The 23,352-nt window shown below is 55.8% G+C and overlaps 1 protein-coding gene and 1 long non-coding RNA gene across 4 annotated transcripts in view, besides 7 other annotated features; one reads left to right on the top strand and one right to left on the bottom strand.

The window, feature by feature from the left end:
* PRDM16 (PR/SET domain 16) overlaps positions 1–23,352 on the bottom strand; it is a 369,419-nt gene that overhangs the window by 110,385 nt on the left and 235,682 nt on the right. The window lies entirely within an intron of this gene.
* Positions 4,740–21,584, top strand: LOC105378604 (uncharacterized). 2 transcript variants are annotated; one of them, NR_188664.1, is made up of 3 exons: positions 4,740–5,353; positions 14,724–14,870; positions 15,008–21,584. It is a non-coding gene; the product is annotated as an uncharacterized LOC105378604 (long non-coding RNA). The 2 variants fall into 2 exon arrangements; NR_188665.1 differs by lacking the exon at positions 4,740–5,353 and adding an exon at positions 14,433–14,587 and having other exon boundaries at positions 14,724–21,584.
* Positions 6,786–7,404: an enhancer, noted in NCBI's record as "H3K4me1 hESC enhancer chr1:3237397-3238015 (GRCh37/hg19 assembly coordinates)". NCBI's record gives its function as "activates a minimal SCP1, AML or CMV promoter by ChIP-STARR-seq in primed H9 embryonic stem cells {active_cell/tissue: H9 hESC(primed)}" and the evidence as "EXISTENCE:reporter gene assay evidence [ECO:0000049][PMID:30033119]".
* Positions 8,105–8,604: an enhancer, noted in NCBI's record as "H3K4me1 hESC enhancer chr1:3236197-3236696 (GRCh37/hg19 assembly coordinates)". NCBI's record gives its function as "activates a minimal SCP1, AML or CMV promoter by ChIP-STARR-seq in naive H9 embryonic stem cells {active_cell/tissue: H9 hESC(naive)}" and the evidence as "EXISTENCE:reporter gene assay evidence [ECO:0000049][PMID:30033119]".
* Positions 8,605–9,106: an enhancer, noted in NCBI's record as "H3K4me1 hESC enhancer chr1:3235695-3236196 (GRCh37/hg19 assembly coordinates)". NCBI's record gives its function as "activates a minimal SCP1, AML or CMV promoter by ChIP-STARR-seq in naive H9 embryonic stem cells {active_cell/tissue: H9 hESC(naive)}" and the evidence as "EXISTENCE:reporter gene assay evidence [ECO:0000049][PMID:30033119]".
* Positions 12,443–13,002: an enhancer, noted in NCBI's record as "OCT4-NANOG-H3K4me1 hESC enhancer chr1:3231799-3232358 (GRCh37/hg19 assembly coordinates)". NCBI's record gives its function as "activates a minimal SCP1, AML or CMV promoter by ChIP-STARR-seq in naive H9 embryonic stem cells {active_cell/tissue: H9 hESC(naive)}" and the evidence as "EXISTENCE:reporter gene assay evidence [ECO:0000049][PMID:30033119]".
* Positions 14,340–15,539: an enhancer, noted in NCBI's record as "CDK7 strongly-dependent group 2 enhancer chr1:3229262-3230461 (GRCh37/hg19 assembly coordinates)". NCBI's record gives its function as "activates an origin of replication core promoter dependent on BRD2, BRD4, P300/CBP, MED14 and CDK7 cofactors, with strong dependence on CDK7, by STARR-seq in HCT116 cells {active_cell/tissue: HCT116}" and the evidence as "EXISTENCE:reporter gene assay evidence [ECO:0000049][PMID:35650434]".
* Positions 14,758–15,052: an enhancer, noted in NCBI's record as "tiled region #11957; HepG2 Activating DNase unmatched - State 9:DNaseU, and K562 Activating DNase matched - State 4:PromP". NCBI's record gives its function as "activates a minimal TATA promoter and a strong SV40 promoter by Sharpr-MPRA in HepG2 and K562 cells {active_cell/tissue: HepG2 | K562}" and the evidence as "EXISTENCE:reporter gene assay evidence [ECO:0000049][PMID:27701403]".
* Positions 14,952–15,001: an enhancer, noted in NCBI's record as "active region_58". NCBI's record gives its function as "activates an Ori minimal core promoter by ATAC-STARR-seq in GM12878 lymphoblastoid cells {active_cell/tissue: GM12878}" and the evidence as "EXISTENCE:reporter gene assay evidence [ECO:0000049][PMID:35858748]".

The following is a 23,352-nucleotide window of genomic DNA, read 5'->3' as shown; positions in this document are numbered from 1 at the left end:
GGGAACAAGTCCCTCAGTCACAACAGCTGGGGGTGTGGACAGGGCTGTGGTGCCTGGGGACAGGGGGCATCTTGGAGCTTCTCGCAGGCCTGGCTAGTTCCCCACTTGGCCCGGCAGGGGCCTCGCCTCTGGGACCCCAACGCCTAGCACATCCAGCTTCCTGGAGGCCCCAGCCCGAGTCCCCCAGGTCTTCCCTCCTGTGGGGGATTCCGGTCCCCAGAGACTCCTGCTCCTTTTCCCAAGGGGTCTCTGAGAAAACCCAGCATTTTCCAACTTGTTTGCTTGTGTGAACTTGTATTTCTGTGCTGTGGGTGAGGTCACACACTCTGGGCCGCTGAACCCCATCTGTGGAATGGGGGTAACAGTGGCCTTGGCTTCCCAGGGCACTGCCAGCATCAGCCAGTGCTGGGGGGCAGGCGAGGGGCCTCCTGAGGCTCTGGGACCCCCATGTGGGGTTACTGTGAATCTCTTGAGGTCTCCCCTGCAGGTGGGTGGGGGCCAAGTGCAGTGGTGGCGCTTTGAGTGGGCCTTGGCATCCCCTCTAGTACCCGCACGCCATCATCCACTGTGCCCATCCCTGCCACTGTAACCTCCGCCTCCAAGAAAAGGCTCAGCTTCTGGCCCAGATGTCATGGGCGGCAGCCATGTGCAGCGGCTGATACGCTCTGCATCAGTAACCAGATCAGTGCTGGGGTCAAATAACTTTCTGCCGGGCAACAGAATCCCTGCCCGGGGCCGCCGCCGTTGTTGGTCCTGACCGTGGGATGAGCGTTGAAAGACAACGCCTCTGGGTGGGCCTGGGAGGGCAGGGCGGGGGCTGAGGGGCTGTTGGGACTGGGTGTCCACATCTAAGGGAGGCAGAGGGGGCAGGACCCCCCGAGGGCTGCTGCAGAGCTCCAGGCTTCTCCTTGGAAACAGCCTCTCCAGCCGGCCTGTGGTGCCGCCTCCTCCAGCAAAGACCTCACAGGCAGAGTTCTGCATGGGGCGGCCACACCTGGATTTGGGCTATTTTGTCTCCAGAGTCTTAAAAGGCCACCAGAGAAGGTCTTGAGGGGGTGCCCTGCCAAGTGACAATTCAGAATAAAAAAAGATGCAGTCTCAGACACAAAAAGTGTTTCCACTTCCCAATGTTAGTTTTGAAGAGCCTGGGGCCTCCTCGCCTTGCCTGCAGGCTGGGCTGACCGAGGAGCTCCCAGAGGTGTTCAGGGTCTGAGGTCCACCCAGCCCCGCTCCAGGCCCTGTGCGTGGGCTCCTCCCAGGGCAGGCGTCTGGGGGCCCTCACAGCCAGGCGGGGCCTGAAAGCTGATTCCTGTAGAGGGATTTTCCCTCAGAGACAGAGGAGACATTGTGCCTAGTGAGGCTGAGCATGGCCCAGTGGGGGCAGGAGCCCACCTTCTCTGTTCCTGACCCTGAGACAAAGCGGCCTCCCCCTGCTGTCAGGCCACGCGGCGGCTGGTGGGGGGCTTGGGAGCCAGAACGCTCCAGAGAGACGACTGCCAGAGGCCTGAAAGCCACTGCCTGTGGTGGCCACTGCTTCGAGACCTCCTTCCTCCAGATGGAGGCCCTGTTCCCCGCTCCTCTAATCAGCCCTCAGGGAGGTGGTGCACTCATGAAAATGGGCATAGGGCTGGGTGCGGGCGGTCATCCTGAGGTGCCAAAGGGGAGGGGATGGGTCACCTCTGCCATCACCCTTGGTTGACCTCCAGGCCAGGTCGGATTCCAGGGTCAGCTCCCACCAAGTCTGGCATCCTCAAACACAAGCCCTTCCTAGGGCTGACCATGGCCCCTGCAGCAAGCTGAATCATGCTCCTCCTAAAATTCATGCCCTCACAGAACCTAAAAGGTGATCTTTTCTGGAAAAAGCATCTTTGCAGATGCAAATTAATTGACATAAGGTCACATGGAATCAGGATGGGCTCTGAACAAGGAAGTAGGGTGTCTTTATAAGAAGACACACAGGGAAGTGCTCATGTGAAGACAGAGGCGGGGATGGAGGTGATGTGTCTAGAAGCCAAGAATGGCCAAGGAGGGCCAAGGATGGTCGAGGATGGCCAAGGAGGGCCAAGGATGGTCGAGGATGGCCAACGAGGGCCAAGGATGGTCGAGGATGGCCAACGAGGGCCAAGGATGGTCGAGGATGGCCAAGGGGGGCCAAGGATGGTCGAGGATGGCCAAGGGGGGCCAAGAGGGCCGAGGATGGCCAAGGAGGGCCAAGGATGGTCGAGGATGGCCAAGGGGGGCCAAGGATGGTCGAGGATGGCCAAGGAGGACCAAGGATCGTCGAGGATGGCCAAGGAGGGCCAAGAGGGCCGAGGAGGGCCAAGGAGGGCCAAGAGGGCCAAGGATGGCCAAGAATGGTCATGGCTCACTGAGAACCGCTAAGGAAGGCCAAGGAGGGCCAAGGATCATCAAAGATGGCCAAAGAGGACCAAGGATGGCCAAGGATCGCCAAGGATGGTAGAGGATCACTGAGAATCGCCAAGGAAGTCCAAGGAGGGCCAAGGATGGCCAGCAACACCAGACCTGGAGAGGCTGGGGACAGAGTCTCCCTCAGAGCCTCAGAAGGAGCCAACCCTGACCTCCCCTGGATCTCAGGCTTCGGGTCTGTAGAACTGTGAGAGCACACAGTGTGTGGTTTGAAGCCACCTAGTTTCTGGTACTTTGTTACAGCAGCTCCAGGAAATAAACACAGTCCCTGAGAGCCGCCCAGGGCACCCCTGCTGGGACACCCATCTGGCCGGTGGTCAGGGCTTCAGGTGGGACCATCTAGTGGGACTTGTGTGTGCCTCTACTCTGGGGGCATGGCCAGCCCTCAGCCTCTGCCACAAGGACTCGGTCCATTCCCAGGAAGGGCATCCCCTGCGTTCATCTCCCAGAGAGAGCTGATGCTCAGGCCTGAGCTGGCTCTCTGCAGCTGTGCGTACCCTGGGGCCGGCTAACACCTCCTGGGAGCCCGGCCACCTACCCCAGCTGAGCAGCTTACCCAAGTCACTCCTCCCTGGCAGGCTGCTCATTAGAAGAGGGGCTGCAGCTCACAGGCATGAGAGATTTCCTTGGGGACACTCCCTGTGTCCCTCAGAAGGACCTGGGGGTTTGGGGGTCACCCCTCCAAAGGACGCATTTTCAGTAATTAAAGAGGCAGTGGGGCCTGGAAGAGGCTGAGCCAGCTCTGGGCTGGGGGAGAGGTGGTTGGCGGAGTTCAGAGGCCACATGTAGGGGCCAGAAACTGTGCGCTACCAGGTGACCAGAGCTCTGCTCAGCCCCTCGCGTGCATCCTCCCCCCAGGACATCAGTATTTTCTCCAGCACCACCAGGGGCGTCCGCTGGCCTGGACCCTCAGGGACTCTGGCCCAGGGCAGGGTTCTGTGTCACATCAGCACAAGGGAGGGTCAGATGTGCTGCCCACGACCCGCCGAGTCCCACAGCTGATCTGCTCACTCGCCGAGTTTGAGAACCAAGGCTGGGCAGGTAGGGGGGTGATGACGGAATCAAGGGGGGGTGACGACGGAATCAGGGGGGACATCTGTGCTTTAGATCCTGACCCCATGGAGTCGGAGCCTGCCTGTGCCCGCAGGATCATGCCAGGGCCTCAGTGCTTGGGTGGGGGCCATGCATCCAGTTCAGAGGCCAGCATCCAGGGAGGGTGCCAGGTCGCTCGGCTGTTCGGATGTTGTCACAGGGGAACCTGCTGGCTTCCGTCCCTGTGAATGAGGCTTCATGTCAGGTACAGTCTTTTGGCCAGGAATGAGGGCATGAGCGAGTGAGCTGCCAGGTCTGTGTCCGAGGACCCTGAGCCCAGCCAGGAGCATCGCGGGGAGTGTGGAGAGATTGTCTGGGAGTGGCTATAGGGTTTAGGAAGTCTTTTGAGGGCCTGTCAAGATGGCCAGGACTGGCAGGCGGGGCAGGGTGGCAAAGGTGGCCTCAGAGAGGAGGAGAGTGAGCCCGGCAGGCTGGGGGCGACCCTGCAGGCGGAGCCCCCTCCTTGGGGCTCCTAGTGCCCCAGGCCCCACTGTGGGAGTCCTGCTCCGCACCCACTTTGTAGAGTGGCTGGGGAGAGACGGAGGGAGAGACGGAGACCCCTGGAGGCCCCATGCTCCCTCTTGGCGGCATCAAGGCTACACCAGGACTCTCTCCTCTGGCTGGCAGGAGTGTCCAGGAGGGGCTGGCCCTGCTGCTGGTAGATCCTCCTCCCAACCCAGACGGAGGGAGGGTGGCAGCCCCCACCCCTGCAAGCTCTTTCTTTCCTTTTCCCAAAGTTGAAGCTTCTCCTGGTGCCTCAGCAGCAACCCCTTCACCAGCCCCGTCCGCTGCCCGCAATGTTGGTGGAGTAAGGAGATGAGGCCCGTGCAGAGCCGGGGGAGCCCCTGGGGGGTCTCTAAGCTGAACAGGCCTCTTTGACATCATTACATAAGCCGTCACATTGTCACAGGCCACGGCCAGGAGTTGTAAATACTCGGGGAAAAGCCCTCTTTGTTATGAGGTTCTGGGATGTGAGACCTTGCAGCTTTTACTGCTCAGGATTAAAGGAAGCCAGGCCTGCGGGGAAGTGCGGCCGCTCCCAGCACCGGCCCTCGCCTTTGTCGGTGCTTTTTATGACTGCACACGTGGGTTTCCAGGCGGGAGCTGGGGGTTCCCTGGCCTGGGACCCAGCAGGCACTGGCGGCAGCTGGCGGGGCCCCTGATCCTCACGGACTTCCTCCTCCCTCCGCTGTCTCCCCGGCCTCCCTGGGCTTTCCAGGAGAGCCGTCCACGCCTGCTGTGGGAGGAAGACGCTTTCCTGAGGCAGGGGCCAGGCAGCTTCTGTTGGCGCCTGGAACAGCTTCCGCTCATCGCTTCTGGCGGCACACACTGCGGAGGTGAGACTGCAAATGCCGCCCGCCCCACGTGGTGCAGGCTGAGTGCTCTGGTGTTTGTCCAAGCTGTTCCAAGCCCAGGAGGTCGGACTCTCACCGTCGTCTTGGTGATGGCAACGCTGTGTCCTGCCCCACCTCGTGGCTGCCCCCACCTGTACCGGTGAGACCTGAGGGTACGGGTGGGGTGGATCCTGCCATTCCCAAGGGCTAAGTCCTGAGACCCTTTTGAAACCCCGTTTGAAAAGGTGACAATAGCGTATGGCTTCCCGCACCAAGTGCACACAGTACACTAGCGACAGGCACAAAGGCAACATGAAACGGGCTGCTCTGTGCTCGGGTGTCGCAGAAGCACGGGCCAGAGAGCCGGTGGCTGCCCAGGACCAAAGGGACCCACATCGACCTGCTGGGCACTGGGGCCTAGAGAGTGACCAGAGCGTGATTAGAAGAGGCCGGATCACAGGGAGCCCCAGTCCACTGAACCACATCCAGAAGGTAGAAAGGTAAGAAGGCCATGAACCCCTGCTGAAAAGAAGACACCACTGCCCTCCCTGTCCCCATCCTGGGGCACGAACAGGGTGGTGCGTCCTGAGCACTGAGGAGGTGCTGGTGGCAGAGGCACAGTGATGGGCAGGGAGCAAAGGATGTGGATTTCTAGGTGACGGGTCGCTGCGCCTCGTTAAAGGGTGGCCATCTGGGGGAGAAGCAGCTCTAAGGACCCCAGCATGGCCTGTGGACTGGAGGCTGCCAGGCACTGGCCTACACCACACTGGGTGCCGCAGGTCTGGGAGGAGACCGGACGTGCAGGGACGAAGCTCCTGAGACAGTGGTGGCCTCTCCGCCACTGGCCTCAGAGTGGGGGTGGGTGGGGGTCCTGGGTCTTAGGGAGAGTGAGAGCCCCAGCCGGGGTGCACTCACTGGTTCATTCCCGAGGCCCAGGAGCTGGAGCTGGAACTGAGGGGCCCAGGAGGCTCAATTGTTTTTAAATTCTGTTTTTACAAGGAGCGTGAGATTTATAGGCTCCGGAGGGGAAGAAAATGATGTAACTCGAGTCAATCAACAGCCCGTTTATTCCGGGCCTGTTTCCCCTCGCTCTGAGCTCCCAGGCCACTGCTATACACTCGGCTTTGACAGAAAACCACTGCCACCCACACACACACGTGCACATGCTCACACACACACGTGCACACCCACTCTCACACACACAGTGTGCACAGCACACACACACAGTGCACTCACACACAAACATGTTCACCCACACATTGTGCATATCACAATCACACAGAGCCGCACACATATGTGCAGCCTCACACACGTGCACTCCCCACACACACACGACCTCCAAACACTCTCACACACATCTGCACTCACACACAAACGTACGCACTCACACACACATGCACCCCCACACAAATATACAGTCTCATGTACATACATGCATGCCAAACATACACGCATATGTGTGCCCTTTACACACGTGCTCCTACAAACACAAACACATATATGCACCCACACACAAATGCACACACTCACACACGGACCCACACACAAATGCACACATGTACACATGTGCACCTACACACACGCACGCACACTTGCACAGCACACACGTGCACACATACACAAACACACATTGTGCACACCGCACACATGTACGTCACACATACACATGTACACCCACACAAAGCACACACACGTGCACCCACACACACACGTGCACCCACACATTGGGCACATCACAATCACACATACATACACATATGTGTGGCCTCACATACATGTGCAACCCCCCAGAAACGTGACCTCCAAACACTCTCACACACATTTGCACTCACACACAAACGTACATACACACACACATGCACCCCCACACAAATATACAGGCTCATGCATGCCCACAAACACACATATGTACCCTTCACACATGTGCCCCCCACAAACACAAACACATGTGCACCCACACACAAATGCATACACTCACAAATGCACACACTCACAGAGACCCACACACAAATGCACATAGTCACACACAGACCCACACACAAATGTACACACACACACGGACCCACACACAAATGGACACACTCACATATGTGTACTGCCACACTCACATACACATAAATATTCACATGCATATTTACCCCCACGCGTGTGTGCACACATGCTCCCCCATCAGCCCACCCGGGGTTAAGTTATCTCTGAGGGAGCTTCCACACACACCTCAGATTCCCCTCTCCCAACTTCTCCGATCCCTCTGTTCCTCTTCCTTTGTGAAAGTCCCCTGGTCTTGCACAAATCACACCCACGCAGCTCCCATGGTAAGTGATGAGGGCAAACCACAGTGTCCAGGCTCTATCCCTCGCAGAGGACACGAGTCAGGCTCCATGAGGAAGGGCACGCGTTTCGTCTCCCTCGGGTGCTTGGGACAGCCATGTGCCTGGCTGGGGGCTGGATCAAGTGGGCAGGGAGGGCGTGCCAGCCCCCTCCCTCAAAACCACCATCCTCCCCAGGACCTGAGCTAGCCAGGCTCCTCTCAGAGGACTTGGCTGGAGCCCCAGCTGAGCAGGTGTAGCTCAGAAGCTCTTCCTGCCACAGCAGCAGCTGGGCTGTGTGAGCAGGGCCTCTGAGTCACCTCTGCCTGGAGATCGATGGAGATCAAAGAACTTGGCCTTATCTCAGGAGGACCTTTGTGCGGGGCCAAGGGGGTGGGTTCAGCAGGAAGGCACTGGGCTTTCCAACAGCGTGAGAGTTTTCCTTAAATAGGCAGGTCCACATTGTTGATTCCTCCTCTCTGCCCCTCTCTGTGTCCGGGGGACAGATGCAGACTTTGTGCCCTGAGACGATAATAACAGTGACCTGGGTCACCTGGGAAATGATCTGTTCTCCAAGAACCCGGGAGGCAGCCAGCACACAGGCCCTTCACCCCACCTGCTGCCTGTGACTGCACCTGGGAGGCAACCCTGGGCACACAGCCTTTGCAGAGACCAAGCCCCACATTCTCACTCACATACACCTGCATGTTCACACCAGTGTGTGCACGTGTGCATACACACACACGCACACACACACACATCTACTCTTGAGTTGGACCATGAAAATCCCAATGCGTCACAGTGAAATTCCTAGGAACCTGTAGGGTTTGGTCCTTCACAGACATCAGTCTCTTTTCCTGTCACAGCCCACTGTGTGTGTCTTATAATTTGGCACATGTGTGTTCTTATTTCGGTGCTGCAATACAGCTAACAAACAGTAGAGGGCAGGCGTAGGTGTACACCCTGCCCGGTTCTATATCCAGGAACAAGGAAGTAAGTCTCTTCAAGAGGCCACACCTGGTAGGTGTGGCCACCAGGCCCAGGCACTGTTTTCTAGGGAATGCTCTCTTCAGAGTCACCCACCATGTGTAGCCAATGGCTGGCTGACTATGACAATAGTCGTCCCTGGGACACAGCTGTGAGCCCCAGAGGCTGGAAGGCCAATTTGCCCAACATGGCTGGTCCTGGCTTGTCTAACTACCTGCAAGTATGGGCAGAAAAGGCACCAAAACTCTTTGGGGAAGCCGGCTAAAGCCATGGGAGGAGCGCCTACCTGCTGGTGAACAATGGCTTCCAGGGCTGTGTGGGTGGCTGGGTGGCACAGAGGAAAGAGCCCCAGATTGGAGGCCAGCAGACCTGGGCTGAGCCTTCTGGGGAAGTTAGTGGACCCCTAGGCTTCGATTTCCCCAAGCAGCCAGCAAAGGGGTAGATTAGAGGAGAGAGGAGCGCCTGACGCCTCCACGCTCTCCTTCCATCCCTGAAGCCAGGGGCCACTGGTGAGATATTGATCCACAGCCTCAGCCTGGGAGGGCCTCTCCCCTCTCAATCCCCTGGCCCCCAGCCTGGTCTGATGGCCTCAGGCTTCTCTCTCAGCTCTACCGGACCAGGAGGCAAGGCATGTTCCCCATCACCCTGCATATCTGCCCCCCTGCCCCAAACACTGACCCGCTCATGGTGGAGAAGGCCAAACATTTTGGAATAAATACCCAAGGACGTCAGAATAAAACAGTGACCTTTTTGCCCTTCCAATGTTGAGCCTTGGTGCCAGCTCCTAATCTCTCCCTTGACCTTCAGAAGGGAGAGGAGGATCCCATACTTTAGACCCAATGATCCCTCACATCAAAGCCCTCTCCTAGCTCCCCATCCCTGCCGGGCAGCAGGGAGCCCTGGGCTGTACCCTTTGGAGCTGGCTGGACCTCCAGCCTCAGCAGTCCCCACTCATGCCAGACGACCTCTGAAAAGTGTTTTTGCTCCCTGGGTTCTGAAAAAAAATTCTCCTCCTGACTCAGCAACAACCCCTGCACAGACAGTCTGAGCAGGACTCACTGGGCTGGAGTTTCTGGATGTCACTCTAAATGTCACGCCATGTTTGTAGCCATTTGCAGCATTAAAAATGTAAATGAATTAATTACAGAGCTCAGGGGCCTTTATTTTACACTCACAGTTGCGCTTTTCCTAGGAAAGTGGGGAGAGTCCTGGCAGCAAGCTCAACTCCTTTGGCGTTTTTATTACTTTTTATTGTTACAAATCTTTCAATAGGCAGGGGGAAAAGCCCTCCTTTTTGGCATGCCTTAGTCATCCAGATGATGCTGGGGGGATAAGTTCATTTCTGTGACTTGCAATTTGGAAATGTGGTTGCTGAGATTTGCTACCTTAGGGAAAGTTCAAAGGTCATGAGGGTTTGTCTGACAAGGACACAGCAGTGTCTCATGTTGGAAAATAAATTAGACAGATAGATAATTGATAGATACATAGACAGATGAGTGATAGATGATCAATCGACTGATAGATGATCAATAGATAGCTAATTGATAGATGGATAATCAATTGATAGATAATCAACAATCAATAGATGGTAGAAAAATAATCAATTGATAATCAATCAACAGATGATAGGATGTGTTGAGGCTTCCTTTCCCACATTTTCTGGTTTAAATTGTAGAAGAATAAGAATAACAACAGAAATGACATGGAAAAAAGCGAATTTGAACCAGATCACAATTTTCTTAAAAAAGAAAAACAACCAACACCACCCAAACTCCTCAAGAATCGTCACAAGTTGGAGGGAGCTGTAGGTTAAGAACCCGATGGGACACAGCAGAAAGGAGCTCGGAAGACCTTCTTAATACAGTTATTAAAAGTCCTATACGTGTCTTCCCTTGTCATTGAATTTCACCACACAATTTAAGGAAAGCCACACAAAAAAAAACTTGCAGTAAAAAACTGGGGTATAATTTTCTTCAATCAACTCCGGCTCATGACTGCAATTACCCCGAACCCTTTGCGAGGCTCGCTGTGATGCTCCGGGGACAGGCCTCGGAGCCGCCGTGGGTGGCTTCCTTTCATGTGCCTCTCAAACCCTTCTTTATTGTGAGGTTTCAAATTAGCGCTAGCAGCAATGAGCAAATTTGATAATTCGATCTCAAATTAGTTAATGTAATGTGCCAGTAACCACTAACTAGTGCATTACAAAGAGGAAAATGTATCTTTTTGGAGTTGGGATATGAAGTTAACCAGCCTGTCATTTTGCCTTTGGAAACTTTTCTGGGTCTCTATTAAAAGGGAGTAATCCTATAAGAAATGTGCATCCTCACGGCGCTGGTGGTGTCCGGAGGAGGAGGGGACACTCATGGGCAGGCTCCGGGCTGGGGCACCCACGCACGCCCAATGGCTGCCCTCAGACGGCTTCCCAGGAGCGGTTGTGTCTGGAGGCCAGGGCCGCTCAGAGGCCCGGGCGGAGCCAAGAGGCAGGAGGGATCCGGCCCACGTGATGGCTTTGCTTTCAGAAGTCAGGCACTGAGAGGGAGTGGGGTCTGGATGGAAGGAGGGCGCTGCTAGAAACCCAAAGATCCCCAGACCTGGAGACTTCCGACGGCCTCATGCCGGACACCAGGACCCTGACGGCACGCCCGCACTCCTGCTTAGTGAGGAAGCCAGCATCGTGCAGCGGCTGCTGGACAGAAGGCATACTCGTTAGTCCGTCCTTGTCAGCTGGGGCTCGCTGCAGCCTCGGTGAGGGCCCAGCTGGGAATGTCCTTGCCCTCATCTCCTCCCTGTCACTTCTCCCAGGTAAGAGACAGTAAGGTCTCCAAGGTCCCTTGTTTAGGTCATAGGAGCAGACAGCAAAGATGCAAACATCCCTCGTACCAAGCGGCAAGAAAGAAATCATCCTCACACTGGTCACACTGTCCAACCACAGCAGATGATGGGCGCGTCTGTGGACAACCTCGAGACCACGTAGGGCGCTGTCATTACGTATGTCATTGCTTCTTGGCTACACTGTGTCAATGTTTTCTGGCTACACTGAGTCCCTGCTTCTTGCTTACCCTGATACTGCTTCCTGGCTACCCCATGTCACTGCTTCCTGGCCACCCTGTGACACTGAAACCTGGCTATACTGTGTCAATGTTTTCTGGCGACCTCCTGTCAATGCTTCTTAGCTACACTCTGATCGGCTTCCTGGCTACATTGTATCATTACTTCCTGGCTCCACTGTGTCACTGTTTCCTGCCTATTTTGTGTCACTGTTTCCTGTCTACCCTGTGTCACTGTTTCCTGGTTACACCATGTCAATGTTTCCTGTCTACCCTGTGTCACTGCAGTCACTGTTTCCTGCCTACACCGTGTCACTGTTTCCTGGCTCCACTATGTCACTGTTTCCTGTCTACCCTGTGTCACTGTTTCCTGTCTACCCTGTGTCACTGTGTCACTGTTTTCTGCCTACCCTGTGTCACTGTTTCCTGGCTCCACTGTGTCGCTGTTTCCTGTCTACCCTGTATCAATGTTTCCTGGTTACTCTGTGCCACTGATTCTTGGCTACACAGGTCCTGTCTTCTCGGCTATGTTTTCCACTCAGGTTCTCTTCCCAGGTCCTCCCTGTCCTGAATCCCTCCCAGTACTTAGTGTATACCATTGGCACTTCATAAGTGCCCATTCTTCCCTGGAAGCTGGATGGGTGTGCAACTGAGACCGGGGGTCCCGTAGCTTTTGCAGGCTAGACGAGATCCTGCCTTAAGAAATGAAAAGGCAGGTTTCCTCCAGAAGGCAAGGCAACCCCACCCCCACCCCCACCCCCACCCCTACCCCCACAGTGTAGGTAAACCTGGTAAGTGACTCGGGAGAGAAGGATGGGGAAGACTTTCCAGAGCTCCGCTGTGGCCCTGGACTTGCCACTTTAATCAGAGCTGAAAGGTCCCTCCCGCCCCCACCCGCCCTCAGTCAGTGACAGACGATTCCTGCCTGAAACGTTTAAAAAGGAACAGGAGAAGCTCTTTATCTGTGTGGCCTGAGCCCATTTACTCCGGGAGAAAGGCCCAGCCCCTGTCCAACTGAAAGCCACAGCTTGTTCTCTCATCTGATGGATGAAAGGAATTTGGAAGCCTGATACTGTCCCCTGAGATGTCATTCAAATCCTGAGATACCTTCCGCAGGCAGGGCCACCGCCACTCGGGCAACGCATCTCTTTGCCACCCCCACCTCATTCATCCCGGGCCCCTCACCTCGGAGCCCGGCTCTAATCAATACAAACCAGAGTGACCTGTGGGAGTCTCCGATTGGTGGCCAGCAAAGTAAAAACATGATTAGAAATGAAGTCGCCGGGGATGCTCTAAATTGGAGCTCTTTGAAACCAGCCTGGGTAGATCGGCTTTCCTTCATGGAGGGGTTTCTTGTCAGTTTTCATGTAAAGTAAAAAGATGAAAAATGTAAAAGACAAAAGCGCTCAGGCCCCTCCTCTCCAGGCTGTGCCATGTTCTCTTGGCTCATTAAAAAAGTACAACAAAGAACAACAACTTGTCAAGTGTTTCCTCTCAGAAAGAACAAAGAGAAAGCCGCAGGTCTTAATGGTTCTTATTGATGGCTTATAAATGTGCCCATGTCCTTCAGCAAGAAGCTCTTCCTACCCGGCCCTCCTTGGTTTGATTCCAAACTCTCCTTTCACTGCCAGCCCCCACCCCTCCCAATAATAATTCAGGCAAACTTTAAAATCTATAGATGCGGCATTCCAGGGTGATGGATTTGCCCCTCTTCCTGAAATTCAAATATAAATCCCCCAGCCTTCTGCAAAGTAACCATGGCAGCTTGATTTATTTGGGCTGCTGTGGAGTTGCGCTGTAGACGTTCAAAAACTTGGAAAGGCAAAGAATGTAGGGAGAGGGAGAGGGAGAGGGAGGGTGGGAGGGAAGCAGGGGGAGACACGGAGTGAAGCGGGGGAGAAAGGAGGAGAAAGAGAGAGAGGCGGTAGCAAGTGTCTCGCTGCTCTCCCAGTTGGGTTTCTGGGTCCCACTGGCCTTCGAGGAGCGGGGCTTTCCCAGGGGCTGGGGAGGGAGGGTGGGGCTTTGTTCAGAGCGATGCCATGCTCTCAGTCGATCCATCTTTCCCCGGATATGGCTAATCCGCACATTTCTCTTCCTGTGTGATGTTACCATCACTTTATCATAAATGGGCTATGAAGACATTTGGAGCTGCTACTGTTGTAATCTATCCAAGATGAATAGGGCGAAGGCTGAAATAAACTCCCCGTTTCCTGTCCCATCTGTCTGCCAGACTGCGGGTCAGGGGCATCCTCCCTCCAGGCTGGTAATTGCAAAAAACGAAGCAACTGAACCCGAACTAGAAGATCAAAGAGCTCAGGAGATGAGGAGGAGGGGGAGGAACTTTTCTGAGAACAAACTGGCTACGGGGGCGAAGGCGATTAGGGGAAACAACAACAACACACAAAAACCCCCAGCCTTCCTTCATTGACACAGAGAAGGAGGGAGGGGGGGAGAGAGAGGAGAGAGAGAGAGAACGCTCACACACATTTGGCAGATGAAGTTTGCTCCTGGATGGAGCAGGATAACTATGTGGGGAGGCTGGGGGACTTTGTAAGGTGGGAGGGTTTCAGGAGCTCTCCTTGTCCCCATCCTCATCGTGGCCTTCCTCTGACCTGCAGACTGTCTTTGCTACCTCATTAGCTACACAAAAACAAATCCTTCCGATTCGGTACAGAGACACCATCTCTCTCTCCCTCTCCTTTCCAGGACCGATTTCAGAAACAGTCTAGGGCACACCAGGGTTGAGAGGAGCCACCCAGAGTGATGCAGACTGTCCCAGCTCTCTAAACTGCCACCCAGACACACCGGTCCTGTCCCTAAAGGTCGGTCCTCCCCCACCACGTGGGAGAACCTTGTCACGGTCCTGGAAACCCTGCACTCAGGACTCCCTGGGCCACTCCAGGGCTCAGGCGGTCCGCTCCTTAAGGGACAGTGACTTGGGTCCATTTTATGTTCCCGCCCCCCCCCCCGGTGGGGAAGGACGGCATTCGGGGGCGAGGGTCCCATGCCTGGACCTTATTCCTTGGGGTCTGACACTGGGTGACTCCCTAATTACATTTCATATTCAGATGAATGAAACTCTGCAACCAACTGATGTTTTCCCCACAATCGGCAATAAATCGCAGCCAGGGCGCGAACAGTGTTCACATTCGCTCCTATTAATGCTTCCTGTCTCTGGACGCTGGGCCGGGTCCAGATTCGCTGCACTACAAGGCTTCCTGCTGGAGGAGTGAGGCCTCTAGGCTGCGTTCCAGTTACAACTGGCAGCTAATGCCTTCACACATTCGCAAATCCCAGGCCCGCCGGGGCAGGAGGCGGCGAGGTTTGCCTGGGGTCAGCAACTGCGGCACTGGCGGAAGCCCCTGGGAGGTGGTTCTGGCCCCCAGGCGGGGTGAGTGGAGCGGGGTCCGCACGGCCTCGCAGGCGCAGGTGAGGGGCTGGGAGGGAAGGACTCTTGAGCAGGCCCAAAGGGACTATTTCAAATTTTGGATACAAGTTTCCATTCACATCTGAATTCCTCTTTCCAGGTTGTTTCTCTCCCCTGGATGCCTGTGGGGGTGGGGACGGCAGAGCCTCGGACACTGCCCGGGGATCACTCTCAGGCTACTTTTCCCACCCTGCCAAGCTGCTCGAGACGTCAAAGGAGACCAGGCCGGTCAGCACACAGGCTTCTGGTAAGTGCCGCCCTCCGGTCTGGGAGCTCAGCTCTCCCCTTCTGACTCACCGCTCGGCGCTGACTCATCGTGACGGCGAGTGGGGCTCCAGCTCCGCGGCATTTCATAGACAGCGCGGTCACATTCCTTTCCAACAGTCGCTCTGGCCTCGATGTCTAAGGCTCCGTGGGCAGCCGGCCTGTGGATGAGGCGGCGGAAACCACATCCTCTTCATCATCCTCTCACGAGGAAGGACACTGACAGCTTCGGAGAAGGCTGCCCAGTGTCTGCGGGTGCCCTTGGGAGATGGCCTTGGGACACGGTGCCTGTGCCTGTGTGTGTACACCACGTGTGAACGCCAACTGGGAACACGGCCCCTTCGTAGGCAAACCCAGGCCTCCTGGAAGTCACAAGTTGATAGCTGTACTCGCCCCTTTTGGAAGACGCACGCCCAAGGCACCCGTGTGTGCACACGTATCCGTGTGTGGACCTCTGTCCACACGTGTGTGTTTTGAAAAGCCTTTCTCACCACATGTTAGGATCACAAGTGTTCAAAATCTAGGCACACTTTTCAGAAGTTATTTCTGGAAAAAATGTTGAATCTCATAACAGCAATAAAAGGAAAATACCGCCTCAGCCAACATAAATGTCTCCTTGGAACATGCCTGAAAAGCGGCGGAGTATTTGTGTAAGTTTCAATTCCAGCGTCAGAGCCTGCAGCTTGGCCGAGGCCGGGTTCTGCACAGGAGGGTGCACGGTCCCTTTCCGAAAGCCCCTCACCGGACTTCTGGGAACTCCCAACCCATCCCGGGAACCCCACCTGCCGGCCCCGGATCCGGATGGGCTCCTGATGTATCCCACAGAGGGGATGCCAACGTCAGACACCAGCAGGCTGGGGAGGAGCGGCTGTGAGGTGCAGCCGGCGGGTGGGCGGCCAGCCTCCAGGACAGACCTCGGAGGAGGCTGGGGGCTGCCTGCTGCCCTCGGGGCCCTGTGGTCCCACCACACCCGTGCCTGTCCCAGTGATCCTCATGTCACCGGCCCAGTGAGAGGCTGCTGCTACCAACCCCGCCAGCCTGCAGGCCGCTGAGTGCTGGGCTGCTCCTCCTCAGAGGATGAGCGTGGGAATAACCCAGTGGGGCGAGGATGCTGACGGCGCCATGGATGTCCACTGAGGGCCCGAGATGGGCCAGGCCGAGCTCTGTGCTTTGGAGTCAGATCTCATTTAAACCCAGCAGCACATCCCATTTCACACGTGGGAAGGTGGGGGAGTCAGGATCAGAGAGCAGGGTGTCGCATGGGGGAGCAGCCGGGCTGCGATGTGAACCCTACAGTCTGCCCATGAGCCGCACTCCTGGGCTGGACACTCCAGAGCCTTCTCAAGCAGCTTTCTTGGGGCTCCCTGAGCACCTGGCTGGATGCTGCTGGTCTGGAACTCTGGACGGGGGCCCCGGGAGCTGACCTGCAAAGCTGTAGAGCGACTGTGAGGCACTGGCAGCTTTGCAGCCCCTCTGGACCCAGGGTGGGGTGGGCTGAGCATCTGGCCTTCTGGGTCTATCTGGGAGGCAGGGCTGTCTCAGATCTGGGGCCTTCTGAGAAAGATGTCGAACCCAAGCTTCCTTGGGGAAGGAGGCAGATGGACCCCAGATCACTCTCCTGGGTGTGAAATCAGCTTTGGGGGTGCCTTCGGGGTCGGGCAGAACTGGGCTCACCCAGCTCTCGCCTTTTCTGGCTGTGTCACTTGGGTGAGCTCCTGAGCCTCTCTGTGCCTCGGTTTCCCTGTTGATTAGGTCAGGCCAAGGATTAAATGATGGCAAAGTCGTACCACGCTGGCTGGTTTTGGGCCTGTGGGGATTCTTCATCATTTCTTCTCTTTCTCCTACTGCAGCTCCAGGCTACCCTGAGATTTGCCTGCTGGGTCTGGGCTTCATGGCGGGGCCAGATTGGTGCCTCGGAGCAGAGGGCACAGGACAGAGCGGGCACCAATGCACGGGCAGGTTTCCAGGCACTTTGGGAAGAAATAAGATCCCACCCAAGAACCTCTCCCCAACTCTGGCCTTGGCTCGTCCTGGTTGTTTCCAAAAGTGAAAGAAGGCAAAAGAGTGAGCCGAGGCCCACCGGGAACAACAACAAAGACCCGGCCTCGGAGTGGCGGCAGCGCCGCGGCCACTGCAGGAGAGCTCTGGTTTCTATTAGTGGGAAGCGACGGCTCCGTCTCAGGACAGAGCTTGGGCCATCAGCCCTCGGCGGGTTAACCCTTCCCCACCTCACTGCTCTCACAGGCAACAGGCACCCCTGAAGCTGGGAAGTCCTGGGGCCGGGTTCAGCTGAGGACTCCCTGCATCCTGCCACCACCACCAACCATGCTGGCGCTCACACACACACACACATACGCACGCACACACGCACACACATGCCTACACACACCCACACGTCTCACAGACACACACGCACACTCACATGCATGCACACGTGCCCACACATGCCCACATGTCTCACACACACGCATGCCCACACATGCACACACACTTATATGTGCACACATATGCACAATCCACACCAGCACACACATGCACATACACATACACACACACAGACATGCATGCACATACACACCCATACATGCAAACACATATTCCTACACAGGGACACTCCACGCCAGGGCCATGTCATCTGAGGCCAAATGAAGAGTTGGCAGAGGAGGAAGGCCTGGAGAGGTAGCGTGGAGGCCAGAGGAGGCCCTGGTTGAGACGTGCTTGCTGGTTTGGCAGGTGGAGGGACTTGGGGACCAAGTAACCCGGCTCGGTCAAACATTCTCTCCCCAGGCACGGATGCTGTGTCCCTGGGGAGCCCAACCTCCCCAAGTGGAGCTTGGCTGAGACCCCTCAGCAGCTCCGAGGGCCCCTGTGGGTTGTGATGCCAGAAACAGGGCCAGAGCTCAGAGGAGGCACAGGGACTACGGTTTCCGTTGAAAGACGGCTCAGGGTCACCGGGCTCAGCAGAGGGAGGGCGCTTCAGGGGCGGTGACCGGGTCGCTTTAGGAAGATGGGTGGGGGGCACTCGACTCCCAAGGCTGAGGGAGGGGAAAGGTGTGTGCACACTGCAGGCATCCGGCCTTTGGGCCCCAGAGTGTGCCGGGCAGGTGTCATCTCCATTAACAGCTGCAGCCGCTGTGGAGGTGGCTGCCACCATGATACCCATCGTACAGGTGAGGAGGTGGAGGTAGGAAGGGCGTGGCCTGTCTCAACCTGACAGGGATGTGTGTATGTGGCCACATGTTGACTTTTTGTTTTAAAATTTGGATTCTACTGGGGAAAAAGATTACAATAAAGTGTCTGTGCTGCACCCAGGAAGGCATGCCCACTGGGTAAGGCTCGGCACCAAGCGGCCTCTCACTGTGGGTCAGGCTCGCATGGGGCGGGTGTGCCTGGCCCCTGTGTGAACCTGGAGCTGGCCATGGGGAGAGGCTGCTCTGGGGCTTTTCAGAGAATCCGTGGTTGATTCCCTCAAGGACTCCCTCAAGGGGGCCACGCTCCTCCTCCCTGGGTCCCCTCCCTGGCCCCCACCCTTCCCTTTCTCAGGTCCTCCCTCTGACAGTGGCTGTAGCCCTCTGCTCCTAGCCCAGGGCAGCCCTGGCCTCTGGAGTCACAGTCATGTGTTCAAGTCTCGGCCCCTTTCCCAAGGTGAGCTGGTCCTGCAGGGATGCGGGAAGTGTCAGAATATGAAAACAACCAGGACAAGGACAGCTCAGCTTACCCCGCTCCAGCACCTTCTCCAGGTCAAGCACTTGGCCAGCCCTGTAGCAGCCTCCTCATTCCATCTCTCTGGTGTTTTACAGATGAGAAATGAGCACAGAGAGGTTAGGAGCATTGTCCAGTGCCACAGAGCTGGCATGTGCTTGTCTGGGCTGAGAACTCTATGAAGCCTTGGAAATGCTCCCCACATATGGAGCAGTGTGTTCAGGCCCCATGGCCTGACCGGGAGCAGGAGGGAAGGACAGGCTCAGGTCTCGCATCCCGGGAAGAATTTCTCCTCAGTGCACCAGGGAATATCGCCTGACGACGGAATCAGGTTTCTTTCCCCATGACCCCTCCACCATTAGTGTTCCCAGAAAGCCAGGGGCTGCTGTGCCCAGAGGAGGTGCACCCTGGGAGCCCTGCCTGCAGGACGGGAAGCAGAGCCCCCTCAGAACAGAAACTAGGAACAGAGGAGGGACAAGGGAGGGAGGGCAGAAGGTCCGGTGCCCTCAGTTTCTATCCATCCTTGGGTCGGAAACCTGGGATGGAATGAGTGAGGAGCTGGGTCCACAGGGACAGGAACTGGGGGATACCAGGGGCTAGGGCTGCTCATCCTTTCCCAAGGAGGAGCCAGGGAAAAATTAAGCTCATAGGGAATGTCGGGTTCACCGGGCCTGGCGGACTCCAGATCCCAGAGGCAGGGCACCCACACATCTCTCACCGGCACGCACCAGGGCCCCGATAGCCGGGCACCATCATGGCGAATTACATTACATTGCATTACCCGGGGACCACTATCATGACCACGTTGGGAGAGGAAACTGAGGCACTAAGCTGCCAAAGTCACGCAGCCCACAACACTGGAAGGCAAAGCAGCCGTCTGGACCCCAGAACTGGAGCTGTCCCCTCACTGGGCGAAACCCAGAACCCAGTGTTTGCTTCTTTCTCAGAGTAGCAAGAAGACATGGCAGAGCTGCCCTCAGGCTGGAGGCTTGCAAGCCGGAGGCGCACCACTGTCTAAGCAAACCAGGCACGAGGAAACGCATTCGCAAGCCTGAGAAGATGAGTGGCCATCACTGGCATCACCGAAATGGCCTCCTCAACCGGACGGGAAGAATCCCTCCCCCAGCTGACTCCCCGAGATGCTCCATGCCCCACGTTCCTGACCTCCTAGGGGAAGGAGCAGGAGGAACCCAAGGCCATCAGAGGGGCCTGGACTGTGGGTGCTGCCAAGTCTGTAGGTGACCCGGTGACCATCCCGGTTTGCAGGGGACCAAGATTCTTTCTGGGATGTGGTGCTTTCAGTGGCAACAAGAAGAGCCCCCTCGGCAGCCCTGGCAATCCAGGACAGTGGGTCGCCCCCGCACGGCCTGACGCTGTGGCGTGGAGTCTCCAGCGGGGCAGCACTGGGTTGGAGGAGGGAGGATGCTGCCAGCATCACGGGGAGGTCACATGCCAGACACTGGTGTCTGATTTCCCCTTGAGAGAGGTTTCATCACTGCCCCGTCCTTGGAAAGGGTCACCCAGTCAGACTACAGAGCCAGGACCATGATCCAAAGCTGAGCAGTGCCCACCAAAGACAGTGTTCCCAGTGCTCAGGAGCCCTTGGGCCTTTATAAGGTGTCTACCGTGGGACTAAAAAAACACCTGTCCCCAGGTGACAGCATGCTGCCTTTGAAACACAGCTCTGTGAGAACACACCTGGCAAAGGCAGTCTTGGGGGCCACGCGGCAGGGACCCCTTTCCTTTACCAACTCTCACAGGCTGAGCCGCTCTTGCTGTGAATGTACGTGGCCTTGGTATGTTCTCCAGCAAGATTATAAGTGGAGGATGGAGTCAGCTGGGAAGCGAGGCTCAGATCAAGGAGGGCTACTACCAGGATCCCTGCAGAAACAGGGACACAGGGAGAGATGGCTGTAAAATCCTTGAGCTTTAAGGGGTAAGCTCATGGAGCCCTGAAAAATATGACTGCATTGCAAATGCCAACTTGTAGACACAAATATCGTGGAAGCAGGCCACGTTCAGCCTTGCACACTGTGCGCTCTTCCATGACTGAGAACGTTAGTCACCTGCACCCTGACCAACCTCTCATCCCTGAAGCCTGCTGGGAGGTGTCTGGGGACAGGAACGAAAATTTACAATGTTCTTTGGTTGTTTAATTTTGAATTTTCTCCCTCATTATTATTGAAACTGAAACATCTAAGAGGACACCCAGATTTATCTGAAACCGGAAGATGACACGTATGAAGGATCAAGCATTCATCACAAACACAGGCAGGCGAAGGAGACCAAAACACAGCTAGGACCATGCCAAGCGTCGGTGATGATGTGGAGAAATGGGGACCTGCCAGACACTGCTGGTGGGGAGGTGACATGGTGCAGCCACTATGGAAAATAGTCCAGCAGTTCCTCGAAATGGAAAGCAGGAGTCCCATGACCCAGCAGTTCCATTTTCAAGGAAGTCCCCAAGAGAAATAGAAACTTACGTCTTCACAAAAGCTTGAAAATACACATTCATAGCAGCATGATTCATAACATCAAAAAGCAGAAACAGCCCAAATGCCCATCAGTGGATGGATGGATAAGCACAATGTGGCCCCTCCATACGACACAATATTACTCAGCCATAAGAACGAGTGAGGTAGCGGCACAGGCCACAAAGTGGGCGAACCTGGGAACCACGGGACTGAGTGGAAGGAGCCAGTCACAAAAGGTCATGGGCTGTCTGAATCCATTCATTTGAATTTCCAGACTAGGCAAATCCACAGAGACAGAAAGTGGGTTGGTGGTTGCAGTGGCTGGGGGCAGGGGGACATGGGGAGAGTGCGGAGTGAGTACTAATAGGTGTGTGGTTTCTTTTTTCAGTGATAAAAATGTACTAAAATTTATTGTGATGGTTGCACAAGTCTGTGGCTGAAAACCACTGAATTGTACGTTTTAATGGGGTGCATTGTTTGCGTGTGAATCACATCTCAATAAAGCTGTTTTTAAAATGCAATTATTGCACAATGCAAACATTTTTCAGGGTTTCTATTTTTCTGGAATACTTAAAATTTCTCCTAAATGGCCCAAATCTGTCTGCAGGAGAAGCTACGAGGTAGTAGATTTTGAGGGACAACTTCCATCTATAAGACAAAAGTCTGTCTGTGTCCACGTGGCTGTGTCCAGGTGTAAATGAAGTTCGTCCTTCCAGAACCTGTCAGCACCTGAGTTCTTCCAGACGATCAAGTCTTCCTGTTGAGAGGGGTGCACTCCTTTCAGCCCCTTGCTTTTTTATATGGAAAATTTCTAACATGTGCACCCTGTGTCTTGGCCTCCTTAAATAAGAGAAATACCTGCAATGTGGGTGTCATTATCACTGATTATGTGCAGTGATGCTGTGATGTCCCCAGCACTGAACTGCCCACTGCAGATGGCCCAGCGGTCTTTGGAGCTGGCTTGTGTGGCAGGTCCCATCTCTTTGCTGTCAGGACATGTGGCCCTGATGGCCCTTGGCTAACTCCCCCAGTGAGTACTTCCCCCTTGCTTGTGATGTGCTGGAGCTGCAGAGATCAGAGAGCTGAATGGTTAGAACCGTTCACAACCTGGAGGGAAGTGGTCTCTGAGAAAGGCTGTCTCATCCCAGCAGAGATGGAGTGCTGTGCCAAGGATGCCTCGAGCTTGGGACTGTACCCAGCACGTGACCTTGAGGAGGATGCAGAGAGTGTCACTGGGGCCCAGGCCAGTGCCTGGCATAGGTGGCTAGTGGCAAAGTGTTAAGTCAATGAGTGAATCAGCAAATAAATGGGCAGAAAAGCAGCACGGGCATCACCCGGAAGGGTTCCCTTCTCGCATCCTGGATCTCAGTCCTGTTCTGATAGGCGAAGCTGCCAGCAGTCTGTGGAGATGAGGCATGCATGTGATGTGGATCCCAAACTTGCAAAAGTCGCGGAGCTGGGCCTGGCAGTCCTGCCTGCTCCACAATTCCCCACCGTTTTCCACGGGGCGCTTTCTGCCCTGCCAGGGGGCCTTTGACAGCTGAAGCATTCAGCTATGTTGACTCCACGAAGGATTTTATCAACTGATCAACTTCCATTCGAATAACAAGTTTCAGCCAACATCATTACCTGCATGTGGGAGGCTGTGGACGAGTGGGCAAACAGATGGGAAATGGTCACCAAAGGAGCATCCGCTTACACCTAACATGGAGCTGGGCAGTAACCATGGATCGGGCCCTAGGTGTCTGAAAATAAACACCAGCTGGAGGCAGCACAGCGAGGCGGGGCCTGGGCACCTGGGCCCCCTGCACGGGCAGGGGCTGCGGGGCAACTGCAGGTCCCCGTCCCATCAGGTCCCTGCATGTGCCGGACTCTGCACGTGTGGTTCCCGGGGGCCTGCGGAGATGCGGCTGACATTTTGTTATTTCAGTGTCTGTGGGAACCTCTTCTGGGACAGGTCCTTTGTAAATCTTCATGGAAATGTTCTTGAACAAAAGGACCACATCATTTCACTGCTGCTTGGAGGGCAGGTGCCAGCTTCCCCTGCTGGCACCTGTAGGCTTTCCGGCCTGGAGCACTACACAGGCTTTCCGGCTGGGAGCACTGCACATGTGTGTTTCTCAACCACCCATCATCCGTTTCTCAACACAGTTCACTCGATTGGTCAGAAGTGCACAGGAGGGCAGAGCACTGTCCAGCTTCAGCTGGGGACACAGACGCCGGGCACCAGGGACATGGGCCCCCAGTCCTGGGTGGCAGCGGAGGGCAGGCTATGAAGGAATAGGGTCC

The sequence above is a fragment of the Homo sapiens genome, chromosome 1 (assembly GCF_000001405.40).
Source record: "Homo sapiens chromosome 1, GRCh38.p14 Primary Assembly".
Taxonomy (NCBI): domain Eukaryota; kingdom Metazoa; phylum Chordata; class Mammalia; order Primates; family Hominidae; genus Homo; species Homo sapiens.
The sequence above is the reverse complement of the archived record's forward strand: the minus strand, read 5'-3'. Positions and strand labels throughout refer to the sequence as shown.